The sequence below is a fragment of the Homo sapiens genome, chromosome 6 (assembly GCF_000001405.40).
Source record: "Homo sapiens chromosome 6, GRCh38.p14 Primary Assembly".
Classification (NCBI taxonomy): domain Eukaryota; kingdom Metazoa; phylum Chordata; class Mammalia; order Primates; family Hominidae; genus Homo; species Homo sapiens.
In genome coordinates, this window is record NC_000006.12 from 13,479,244 (window position 1) to 13,490,222 (window position 10,979).

Below are 10,979 nucleotides of genomic sequence, written 5' to 3' on the forward strand. Positions count from 1 at the left end.
CTACTGTTTATTGAGCTTGATGCAGAGAGCTGAGGGCAGCTGCCAGGTAGGTCTTTATATTTTCCCTCTCATTTTACTTATCACACCAACCCTATATGATAGTGTTAGCTGTGTGTTATTGGTAAGAAAACTGAGGCTCAGGAAGGATGATTATGACTCCCAAAGTCACACAGTAGTAACCTGTCAACCTTTCCTTTCATTGATGAGTGTTATGAAGCACAACATCTTATATAATGATGCTCTTTCCTGGGCTATGATTGCCCTGAGTCAAATATATAACTAAGTGCCTGTATATTTCATTCTTGGTGAAACCCTTAAAACATGCTATTGACTTCCACTTTTTGTTGTTGCTCTTCTTCCCCAGTTTAAGGTATCAAAATGTCCAACTTCTTCATTTAGCTTCTTCTCCCTCCAGTGGAAACTTCTGCAGAATTGCACATTATCAAAGCCAGATATCCTCAACAAAATAATCGTTCAACTGCACCTAATTTCAATTAGATGAAATGAGATTGGTGATGCTTGACTTTTCCTAACAATAATGCCCAAGGGCTTCCTCGGCTCTACGACAAATTGATAGACCAAAAATCATTTCACTCAGTGCTCAGGGGCAGGAACCCAAAGAGAAAAACGCAATCACCTTTTTCACATAGATCCAGAAGAGACCTCAAGCAAGAACTGGAAATGCAGGGTTTGCTAGGATGTCAGAATGGCTGCTGTCAAGTCCAAGTGCATCATGAGCATTATCTGCAGCCTTATTTCCGCTGGCGTGGCAATGCTGGCCAGCAAAATCCTCTCTCAACCCCATTTCCTCCTTGCTCCCTCACCTCTGTTCCTGGCAGCCCTCTTCAACATGAAGCAACTGCTGACACCATGAAGAAGGACAGAAAAGGGCCAATTGCTCCAGGTCCTCAGCTGATGACGCCAAACAAGTTGGGACAAGATCAATGTGCAGCAAGATCAAAGCTCATGGAAACCCTGTGGCCTTACTCACCATCCCAAAAGAGCCTTGCACTCCCATGGAGAAACTTCACCAAGAGAGTCTGCACTGCTGTCTCAAAAACAGAGATCATGAAAACAGATGTCATCACATTCCACACAAGGCAACAGGTATTTTAGCACGGTTCCCCTGCCAGGTTAATTACTCACAGGAGGGTATGTCTTCTGTTCCCAAAGGCAGAGAGCTATCTCATCTTTAGTGTCTGACTGTTCCAGCATCCACACTGCCTGAGGGCTGGATAGAAATTCTGAATCTCAGGTCCCACCCAGGAATCTGGTTTTTATTTTATTTTGAGGCAGGGTCTCACTCTGTCGCCCAGACTGGAGTGTAGTGGTATGATCTGGGCCTTGACCTCCAGGCCTCAGGTGATCCTCCCACCTCAGTCTCCCAAGTAGCTAGGACTACAGGCATGCACCATCATGCCTGGCTAGAGACAAGATCTCACTATGTTGCCCAGGCTGATCTCGAAGTCCTGGGCTCAAGCAATCCTCCTGCCTCCGTCTCCCGAAGTGCTGGGATTATAGGTGTAAGCCACTGTGCCTGACCTGGAATCTGTTTTTTGATAAGATCCCCAGGTGATACAACCACACATGAAAGTCTGAGAGGCATTCAGCTACTGCATGCAGGAGGATAAGAATACTATGTGTTAATTGACACATTCTCTTTAGAACCTTTTGCCTTCCCCCAGGCATACATGTATTCAGTGAAAATGCATTCATTTGTCATTCAATAAATATTCATAGTGTGTCTACTAGGTGACTAAGTGTCTGGCACTGTCTAAGGGAGATAAGGGTACCCTGGTGAACCAAGCAGACAAGGGTCCTACCTTGAAATAACTCACATTCTAGCTGGGGAAACAAACAGCAAGCAAGAAAGCAAGCAAGCAAATGAAAGAGATCATCACACACCAGGAAGAGTGTTACCAGGAAGAGAAAGAGGATGACAGAAGCAGGACTGAGGTTGGAGGAGAACTTTCTAATTGGGAGGGGAGGATCCAGAAAGGCCTCTCGCCCAAAGTAACACGTAAGCTGAGACTTGAAAGTGAGAATGAGCTAGCCATTCCAAAAAGTGAGGCAAGAACCTTCTGGGCAAAGGGATGAGCTGGTGCAAAGGCCAAGAGTCAGGAAAGAGATTGGCATGTGAGGAACAGAAAAGAGGCCAGGTGGCCGGAATATAGAGTCCAGGAGTGTGTGAAGCCATCCAAGAAGTGGGAGAGATGGACAAGGCAGGGCCATTTCAGGCCAAGAAAGTCATGCCAAGGAGCTTGGATGTTATTCTAGGTGCTGTGGGAGCCACTGAAAGTGGAGAGTGATACCTTACACACACACACACACACACACACACACACACACACACACGTGTGCACATGTGCTCACTTTCCCCATTGTACAGAGTAGACTGCATAAGAAACAAGACTGGACCCAGGCAGGCTGGCTTGGGGACACAAAGGTGAGTGAGGCTTCTTTGCCTTGTCTGCGTCCTGACCGTCAAGACGCTTGCTGGGAGAGGCAACAAGGAAATTAACAAAAAATACAGTGTCATTTTAGGTGCCAGTTAATTAGGCAATATCTTTGTTAAATGTAATCAGCATGTACTCTCTGACCAGCAATTTACATATCTATCCCACAAACAAGCTGGCATGTGTGCAAAATGACATATGCTCAAGATTATTCATTACATGGTTGTATAAGCCAAAATTGGAAACAACCTAAATGTTGAGTAACAGGGAACTGCTTAAATAAATTTTGATGTATCCATACAATGAAATACTAGGTAGCCAAAAATAGGAGCAATAATACTTTCACATTCAGAGTTTCATATATTTGTGTATATGTAAAATATATGTATATATTATATGTTATATATTGTAATATATATAAAAATGTGCATACATGTATATCTATAAATATGTTAATATATGTATATATACAAATGTGTATATGTATATGCTGTATATGTAAAGATATAAATATACATAAATTTAATAATGCATATTAACTGATTAAATATAATTTATATTAATATTTATATTGCTTAACATTGATTATATTACTATATAAAATTTATGTAATAAATTTAATACATTTAATATATTTTTAAAATAATATTTAAATTTTAACATATATAAATTTTCAAGCTAATATTGTTGCATGACAAAAGTAAGGTCCATAAGAATGAATGGCATGCTACCAACTGTGTAAAAGGTTTTTAAAATTCCCACACAGGCCAGGCGTAGTGGCTCACACCTGTAATCCCAGCACTTTGGGAGGCCAACACAGATGGATCACCTGAGGTCAAGAGTTTGAGACCAGCCTGGCCAACATAGGGAAACCCCATCTCTACTAAAAAATACAAAAATCAGCTGGGTGTGGTGGCACACACCTATAATCCCAGCTACTCAGGAGGCTGAAGCAGGAGAATCACTTGAACCCAGGAGGTGGAGGTTGCAGTGAGCCAAGATCGCACCATTGCACCCCAGCCTGGGCAACAGAGCGAGGCTCCGTCTCAAAAAATAAAATAAAATTAGATTAAATTAAATTAAATTCCCATACATATACTTGCCAGGATATACCTTGAAAAATATATATTATTTTTAATACTTTCACATTCAGAGTTTCACATATTTGTGTATCTCTATGTAAAATATATGCATATATTTTATGTTATATATACATCTATATATTAGTGTATATGTAAAATATATGTATATATTATGTGTTATATATACATATATATATGGCCTTGAATGGGAGACATAAACAACTGGTAATAATGATTGCCTCCTGTCCAAAGACAGGGACTAGGGGACATTCAGTCTTCACTGTGTACTTTTATAGCATTTGAAATTTGTACCACATGAATATATAGCCAATTCAAAATAACTAAATAAAATTTAAATGTTAAATGAATGCCTTAAAATAGGTGCTAGGCAAGATGGGGGCACACAGTGCTGAGACAACAGAAGGGTATGTAGGGTGGGGGGTTTGAGGGAGAGGAAGCGGTAACACTTGGGCTGAGTATTGAAGGGCGAACATGGAAGGAGACCTCAAGGGACAAGGAAGTTCCTGACAGAGACCTGGACATGTGCGCCAACAGGGCCCATTCAAGGAAACCCCAGCAGGGTGGGCTCGCTGAAGCCCTTGGGTTCGGGAATGGCCACCAGGACGTGAGGCTGGGCTCACTTCTTCAGGATGTGAGGCTGGGCATGTCACGCCAATCAGCTGGGGCTTTTCCTGAAAGGGGAAACGATGACATGACCAGGTCTCTAGCACTGCCAGATACTCCATACCTGGCAGCAGTGTAGATAGTGGCTAGAGGCAGGGTTGGGTGGGGTGGACTGGAACCTAGTTCAGAAACTACGAAAGGACCTGACTTCTATGGGGAACAGACACAGAGAGTTTCAGATGGCATCAAACAGGTTTGGGAACCGATTCCAGGGCTGGGATGGAATAAAGGACAACTCCAACAGTCTGACCTGGGCTGCCATGATCTATGGCAGAGGAACAGGTACAGCTGATGGAAGAGGAAGAAATGACTCCGGGGGAGGTAGAGTGCTGGGTTCAAATCTCTAGCTGTAGGTCTAGGAGCAAAGTGACTCAGGTCTCTGAATCTCAGTTGCTTCATTTGTGAAATGGAGCTAATATCTATCTTAGAGGATTATTTTAGTCATGAAATGAAATGCTTTATACACAGCACTTACCATGCTGCCTGGCATACAGTATGTACTTAATAAGAGGCAGCCTTGGACAGTGTAGAAAGTACACTTGGTAGAAATGCCTCTACAACAGAGGAATGCCTCATTCACAAAGGTAGGGATTTTGAGGAAATTTTTAAAAATTAAAGGAGGATGTGTGTGATTCAATTGATCTGAAGTTTCATTTCACTGTGGTCCCTAGACCACACTTTGTAGGGTCCCTACAAAGTAGGGTCCCTAGCCCCTTACTTTGACAGGCCTGTGACCAGTTATGAGTGTGGATCGAAGGCTACAGACCTGTCACCCTCACTGGGCAAGCAATTCAAAGTCCAGGCCTTTGCTAAAAGGACAATTTACCAGGATGAGTCAAAGTAGCTAGTTTCAATTCCAGGCAAACACTCGTATCTATACACTCCCAACAGCCAGATCAGCCTGATAACTGTTTGGGGTTTTTCACTTCCTACGTTCTATGTGTTGAACCTTCAACAGTGACTGTAAAGCAAACCAAGACGACCACCCCACTGTGCACTCGCAGGGGCACCCTGCAAAAGAAGGAGTTAAAAAAAGAAAGAAGAAAGAAGCTCAAAACCTACCCTAAAAACATGAACAAAACCCTATTCTGTCATCACCATTACTAAACTAGGTCTATTATGCCTCTTATCGCTGGTTTTGAAGAGGTAACAGACATGTCTTGTTAATTAAAGTCACAGGGATATTTGAAAAATAAGAACAGAAGAAGTATCCAGAAATGTCTAATTTGTGTCACATCTCTTGAAACCAGAGCCCCCAGACACTTTCATGGCCATGGTCCCAGAGACAGCCAGAAAACAAGGTCATCCTTGTTCCCCAAATTGCCACCCTCCTGCTCTAGGTTTGCTCTGTGGGTCTGAACCCAGGACAGGAACTGCCATCTTTATGGTGGAGAAACGATGTTAACAACATGGTCTTTCAGATATGACCAGTCCTAAGCTCTCCAGTATACGCAGGGCTCATCAGGGACCAGTTTTGTACAAATTGCACTAATAGAATTATACCATAAGATCGTTATAAGATATTTGATATGCAAAGAGCCAATGTAAACAAGGGAGTTATCCACCCAACATACATGTTCCATTAAACAGAAAATAAATATTAGCATTCAGTTCAATGGCATTCAGTTCAAGGCCAAAGAAACAGGCCACAAAGGGCAGACACTTAATAAAATTAACTGACAATTAAAACTGACAATGTGGGCAGCCTCCTTAGGAATTCTATCAGATGTTGCATCTGAGTCAATAGCCAAATGGCCTGATGAAAATGCCTTTCTATGGAGAAAGAGTTTTACATTCTGTTCATAGCTCTTCGAAGACAGAATTAAAACACACGTATATTTCACCTACCCTGAATCCATACCTATTTTTAACAAATAAAACAGTCTTTCCAAGACTACATAACTTCCGGCTGGTTTCTGGATGTTGTCTCTGTTCCTTCGCAGCTCCTCCCTTCTAATCTGTTCTACTATTCGCTTCATCTGGTTATAAGCTTTGTTCTTGTTATAAGCTTTGTGTTTTTCCTCACCAATAGAAACTTCAGCTTTCAAAGGTGAGCTGCTCATTTTCTTGGAATTGTAAGATCAAGCAACCTTCCTGGGATTGTTTTAGGTTACGTGCAAGAACTGATGATGAACAAAACATGCCCTTCTCTTTCCCCTGAGCATAGGCTGAGAGGCTGCTACTCTGTCCTCAGAGATTGTTCAGACTGCCTGGGAGTTGAGGGGAGCAGGGACCAGATGGTGAGGCACCCTGAACTCATCTCCAGCCCACGGGTCAACACTGTGCCTTCCGAAACTATTCCTGAAGGCGATTAGGGAGGGCCTTTTCTCATGCAAAGCATCCATGCCTCTGGAGCTACTGCGCCCATCCTCCTAAAAATTTAAAATCTATTACTCCAAATTGGGGCAGAAGACATTTCCCGGGAGGCTGCAGTCAAAAGTTAAAACCCCCTGGTTTTACCAAATCAGTCTTTACTAACCTATGACGCCTCTGAAAACATTCTAATACATCATCACCCCCATCCAACCACTCCCACCGTCCTTGCCTCCAGCGCAGACGAAATAATTCCAGCCGATGGTAACATCTGCAATCTCACGCTAAACTAACTCACAGCAGAAAGAAACAAACGACCCTAGCAGGGCGCCACCGCTGCTGAAGGGCAGGTCCTCTATCGCACCCAAGAAAACCCGACACACGTGTGCGGCCTTTTATTCAGGCGTTTCTGGGCGCGCACTCGCCTCTCCCAGGCGCGCGCGCGCACAACCCTCCTCCACCCCCCCATCCCCCCCCCCCACACACACACACTTGGACACTACACACACAGCTGAGGAGTAACTTTCCTCTTCTCGCGGAGCACCCTATCCCCTATTATCGGCATCTGATCTTCCTAGTTCGGATCCCCGGAACACACGCCTTCTCCAGCCTGCAATCTACACACGTGGGGAAGCGCGTCCAAGTGGTGCCAGGAGGCAGGAGGGAAGCGCAAAGGTGGGGAAGGCCGGGGACGAGGAAGGAGGGAGCTCTGAGTCGGATCTGGGATCTCAGATCCCCGGGGCAGCGTAGATGCAGGGTAAGCTTCTGGGATGCGGAGAGGGAAAGGCAGGGGGGAAGGAACCTAGAGAAGGTTAAAGGGCGGGGGTGGGACGGAGGATGCGGGGTAGGGGTCGCTCACCTAGGGTTTTGACAGCGATCTGTCTGGTGAGGGGCGGCGGCAGGTTAATGCACACCAAGTCCACGTCCTGATGCAGCAGCACCTCATCAATGCGGCTAGTGTAGAAGGGGACACTCATCTCCTTGGCCAGCTCCTCCGCTTCTTCCTGCGTGCGGCCCCACAGCGCCTTCACCGCGAAGCCCTCGTCTTTCAGCAGCGGGATGATGACACGGGCCGTGAGGCTGGTGCCGAACACGCCCACCCCGGGAAGCATGGCTGCTCAGAGCCGCCTGGTTCTGCTTCTGCTCGGATCTCCAGTCCAACGCGCGCACACACCCACCTCTAGCCAGTCCTGCACCCCGCTCCTGTAGCCAATCTAGCCGCGGTGCGCCAGCCGCCGTGCACCGGGCAAGGCGCCCGGGTGCCCAGAGCGCACCGAGCTGCAGGCGGAGCAAGCTCGGGGCGCCTCAGAACGGTGACTGCGGCAGTGTCCGCCACGCGGGGCTCGCGTCCTTCCCGGAGTCGGCGGCAGGGACCCCCCCAGGGCGCCGGAGGCTTCGAAGCCCCCTGGAGCCCCGGCTCAGGCTGCGCTCCCGCGGCAGCGCCAGTCCGCTGCGTGCGCCCCGCCAAGGCCGCTCCATGGCCGGCTCATCCCCGCGGCCGCGCCGCCGCAGCCCGGGACCGGCTCTCTCCCGCGTCGTTTGCGCAGCCGGCGAATCGCACAGACAAACGTCTACACCCTGCCAGAGCACGGAACCGCTCCGCGGGGGAGTCTCCTTTCTTCCTAGCTCTCCGTTGGGAATGAAATAATCCCGCGGCCGCCAGGAGGCCGGCTAAGGATGCGGCCCGGAGCGCGCCGGACTGGGATCCCGAGCTGCAGCGCGGCAGCGGCGGCCACGACCCGGCGCCAGCCTCCTCATTCTGCTGCCATGTTCGCTCGCCTCGCGGCTCGGGCGGCCTCGGCCCCAGGCCGGCTCAGGCTCTGGGATCCCGCGGGGACGAGGGCGGAGTTGGCGAGTTTGGCTGTCAGCGGCCGGTGTTCCTGCACCGCCCTCGCTGCAGCGCCGCGCGCCATTGGCCGCCGCGCGCCGCCCCCGCCCCCGCCGCCGCCAGCTCCGGGTGCGCGCTGCGCCCGGGCCCCGGGAGCCCAGCCCGGCTCCTCCCCGGCCCCGCCCAGGCCGCCTCGCCCGCCTCCTGCCCCTCCGCTTCTTCCCTTTCTTTGCCCTCACCATCTCCTTCTCTTCCCTGCTTCACTCCAAACCCCGCCCCAACCAAGCAAATACATCTATCTAGGCAGGACGCGCCCTAATAGGTTAGTCGCCTGTCCCTTGGAAGAGAGCAGTGGGCGCCTTGGCCTGGGGTAGGTGAGGGGACCCGGCGAGGTGCGAACAGCCGATAATAATAACCTCGGCTCCCGGAGCGTTTCTTGCGTGCTGAGCATCATACTAACGCCTTTCCAGGTATTGTCCCTTTTAGTCCTCGCAGCAACCTAAGGTTATTGTAAACCCATTTTACCAGTGATGTGAATGAGCCGCAATGAAGGCTAAGGGACTTGCGCAAGGTGACATATATAAGCAACAGGCCTGCGATTGGAATCCAGGCCCCAGAGTCTGGGCACGGAACCGCAGACTTCTACGGTCTCCTTCCAAGCTAGCCTGCTCCAATCGCGCGCCCCCGCTCCGGCCGCGCACGCACGGTTCAGCCGCCTTCTTCCAAGACAGTCCAGTCTTGGCGGGCTCCCATCTGCCTCCCACCTCCCCCGCCCCTAGGCCCATGCCCGCCCCCGCGTAGACGCTGTGGTGTGTACGGCCGCAGCGGGGCAGGGGGTCTCCGAGGCCGCTGCGGCACGTGCGTCTCGTGTCTAGTTTCGAGACGGATACGTCGCCCTGGCCACATGCCACGCCCGCCTCTTGCTTCGGCTCCTGTTGCCGTCGCCACTTACCGCAGCCTTTACTTCTCCCAGCTTGCCCCCACCTCCACCACCCTGCACCCTTCCCAGGCCCTCGAGGGGGCACTGAGGAGGACTGGCCAAGGCTGGCCCCGCACCTCTGGAGCCATGGGGACTCTGCGTCTGTCTGGTTTTCCGCCATATCCTTGGCACCTGGCACACTGCCTTGCCCTGTATGTAGTAGGCGCTCAATAAACATTTGCTAAATAAATGTATGCATATTCATCGAATGCCCGCTTCGCACCCATTTGGTGCCGGGAGAGGGGACTAAAAAGTGAAAGGCACGTCTTCTAGCTGAAGGTCTCTGGAGAGGTCATGGGTCAGGTCATGTTCATCTCCTGTCTTCAGCACTGGGCTCAATGTAGCACATGGTCTGCCGCAACACGAGTGGAAAACGTGATACTTGCAAGAGTTTAAAACAACTTGTAACAACTGGCAGTGAGGCGGGGCGCGTGGAGAGAGCAGGATACCAAAAAAGCTGTGTGTGGCAATGCGGGGTGGAGGCTGACCTAGGGCATTAGAAGAAAGGCACAAAGGACACAGTGCTGGGTGGCTGGCAGCAGCCTGGGGAGGACTGAGAGACAAAGAGGGGTGTTGCCCTCAATACTAACAGGCTTCTTTTGAGCAGGGGTTTTGTAAGAACCAAGGCAGGAACGCCTATCTGGGCACAGGGGCAGGCAGTGGTGTCAGACCCAAGGGGCTGGATACATCACAGGCTTGTCACATGTCAGAGATGGCCAGGCTTTCAGGGAGCAGAGGATGTGCAGTAGTGGTCGGAGCACAGCTAGAGCCACTGGCGTTGACTTCTGGCTCTGCCATTTACTAGCTGTGGGACCTTGAGCAAATCACTTCTCTGCGGCATAGTTTCATCTATAAAATGGGTGGGTAATAATGGTATATACCACAAGGGGTTTTACAGGATCGTATTCACTAATACTTACAAAGTCCTGAGAATAAGGCATGGTGCATAGTAAGTTCTATATAAATGTTAAATAAATAAATATAGAGAATGGGTCTGTTACCAATGTCATTTCTTGATGAGAGAGACCATTGTACAGTGAAGCAATATCTAAGTAATAAGATGGAGTTTTGTTTGTGTTCTTTTAAAAAGAACTCTACCCCTAGCTTGAGTGTGAATAAAAAATGGACCTTCTAAGCCTGCTGTGGTGGCTCACACCTATAATCCCACTGACTGGGGAGGCCTAACCAGGGGTATCGCTTAAGCCGGAAGTTCTAGACCAGCTTGGGCGACGTAGCAAGACCTCATTTCCTAAAAAATTTAAAAATTAGCTGGACATGGTGGTGTGTTGTGTGTCTGTAGTCCCAGCTACTTGGGAGACTGAGGTGGGATTGAGCCCAGGAGTTCAAGGCTGCAGTGGGCCTAGCCTTGATCATGCCACTGCACTCCAGCCTGGGTGACAGAGGGAGACCTTTTCTCTAAAAAAGAAAAGAGACCTTCTATCTATATAACATCAAAGAAAATGATCACATTTTATTCTCATTAAAATTTATAAATAAACATTATCTCCATTTCATAGAAGGCAAAACTATGTCCTGCTAGCAAGTCCAACTTAAAGGTTTAAAACAGAATACTTCATTTCCAACCTTACTCTCAAGCCATTCCTCCTTCATCAATAAATAAAATCACCAGTTCACCA

At 48.6% G+C, this 10,979-nt stretch overlaps 1 protein-coding gene and 1 long non-coding RNA gene across 4 annotated transcripts in view, besides 9 other annotated features; one reads left to right on the top strand and one right to left on the bottom strand.

Annotated features, from left to right (window-relative positions):
* GFOD1 (Gfo/Idh/MocA-like oxidoreductase domain containing 1) overlaps nucleotides 1–8,357 on the bottom strand; it is a 129,771-nt gene extending 121,414 nt beyond the window's left edge. For 2 of the 3 annotated variants that reach the window (NM_018988.4, NM_001242629.2), the window contains exon 1: nucleotides 7,395–8,357. In NM_018988.4, the coding sequence (NP_061861.1) occupies nucleotides 7,395–7,647 (253 nt within the window). In that variant the 5' untranslated portion in view covers nucleotides 7,648–8,357. Of the gene's footprint in view, nucleotides 1–6,767; nucleotides 6,902–7,394 lie in introns of those variants that run through there. The other variant, NM_001242628.2, reaches the window with a different exon arrangement.
* Nucleotides 245–1,444: an enhancer, noted in NCBI's record as "BRD4-independent group 4 enhancer chr6:13479720-13480919 (GRCh37/hg19 assembly coordinates)". NCBI's record gives its function as "activates an origin of replication core promoter dependent on BRD2, P300/CBP, MED14 and CDK7 cofactors, and independent of BRD4, by STARR-seq in HCT116 cells {active_cell/tissue: HCT116}" and the evidence as "EXISTENCE:reporter gene assay evidence [ECO:0000049][PMID:35650434]".
* Nucleotides 4,904–4,973: an enhancer, noted in NCBI's record as "active region_24032". NCBI's record gives its function as "activates an Ori minimal core promoter by ATAC-STARR-seq in GM12878 lymphoblastoid cells {active_cell/tissue: GM12878}" and the evidence as "EXISTENCE:reporter gene assay evidence [ECO:0000049][PMID:35858748]".
* On the top strand, nucleotides 7,018–7,528 carry GFOD1-AS1 (GFOD1 antisense RNA 1). The gene is made up of 2 exons (NR_046709.1): nucleotides 7,018–7,210; nucleotides 7,438–7,528. It is a non-coding gene; the product is annotated as a GFOD1 antisense RNA 1 (long non-coding RNA).
* Nucleotides 7,545–7,708: a silencer, noted in NCBI's record as "fragment chr6:13487020-13487183 (GRCh37/hg19 assembly coordinates)". NCBI's record gives its function as "represses an EF-1alpha promoter that drives an FKBP-Casp9 reporter gene in an ReSE screen in K562 erythroleukemia cells {active_cell/tissue: K562}" and the evidence as "EXISTENCE:reporter gene assay evidence [ECO:0000049][PMID:32094911]".
* Nucleotides 7,545–7,718: a biological region, named in NCBI's record as "ReSE screen-validated silencer GRCh37_chr6:13487020-13487183".
* Nucleotides 7,609–7,718: an enhancer, noted in NCBI's record as "active region_24033". NCBI's record gives its function as "activates an Ori minimal core promoter by ATAC-STARR-seq in GM12878 lymphoblastoid cells {active_cell/tissue: GM12878}" and the evidence as "EXISTENCE:reporter gene assay evidence [ECO:0000049][PMID:35858748]".
* Nucleotides 7,849–8,328: a silencer, noted in NCBI's record as "silent region_16930". NCBI's record gives its function as "represses an Ori minimal core promoter by ATAC-STARR-seq in GM12878 lymphoblastoid cells {active_cell/tissue: GM12878}" and the evidence as "EXISTENCE:reporter gene assay evidence [ECO:0000049][PMID:35858748]".
* Nucleotides 8,349–8,728: a silencer, noted in NCBI's record as "silent region_16931". NCBI's record gives its function as "represses an Ori minimal core promoter by ATAC-STARR-seq in GM12878 lymphoblastoid cells {active_cell/tissue: GM12878}" and the evidence as "EXISTENCE:reporter gene assay evidence [ECO:0000049][PMID:35858748]".
* Nucleotides 9,109–9,218: a silencer, noted in NCBI's record as "silent region_16932". NCBI's record gives its function as "represses an Ori minimal core promoter by ATAC-STARR-seq in GM12878 lymphoblastoid cells {active_cell/tissue: GM12878}" and the evidence as "EXISTENCE:reporter gene assay evidence [ECO:0000049][PMID:35858748]".
* Nucleotides 9,279–9,408: an enhancer, noted in NCBI's record as "active region_24034". NCBI's record gives its function as "activates an Ori minimal core promoter by ATAC-STARR-seq in GM12878 lymphoblastoid cells {active_cell/tissue: GM12878}" and the evidence as "EXISTENCE:reporter gene assay evidence [ECO:0000049][PMID:35858748]".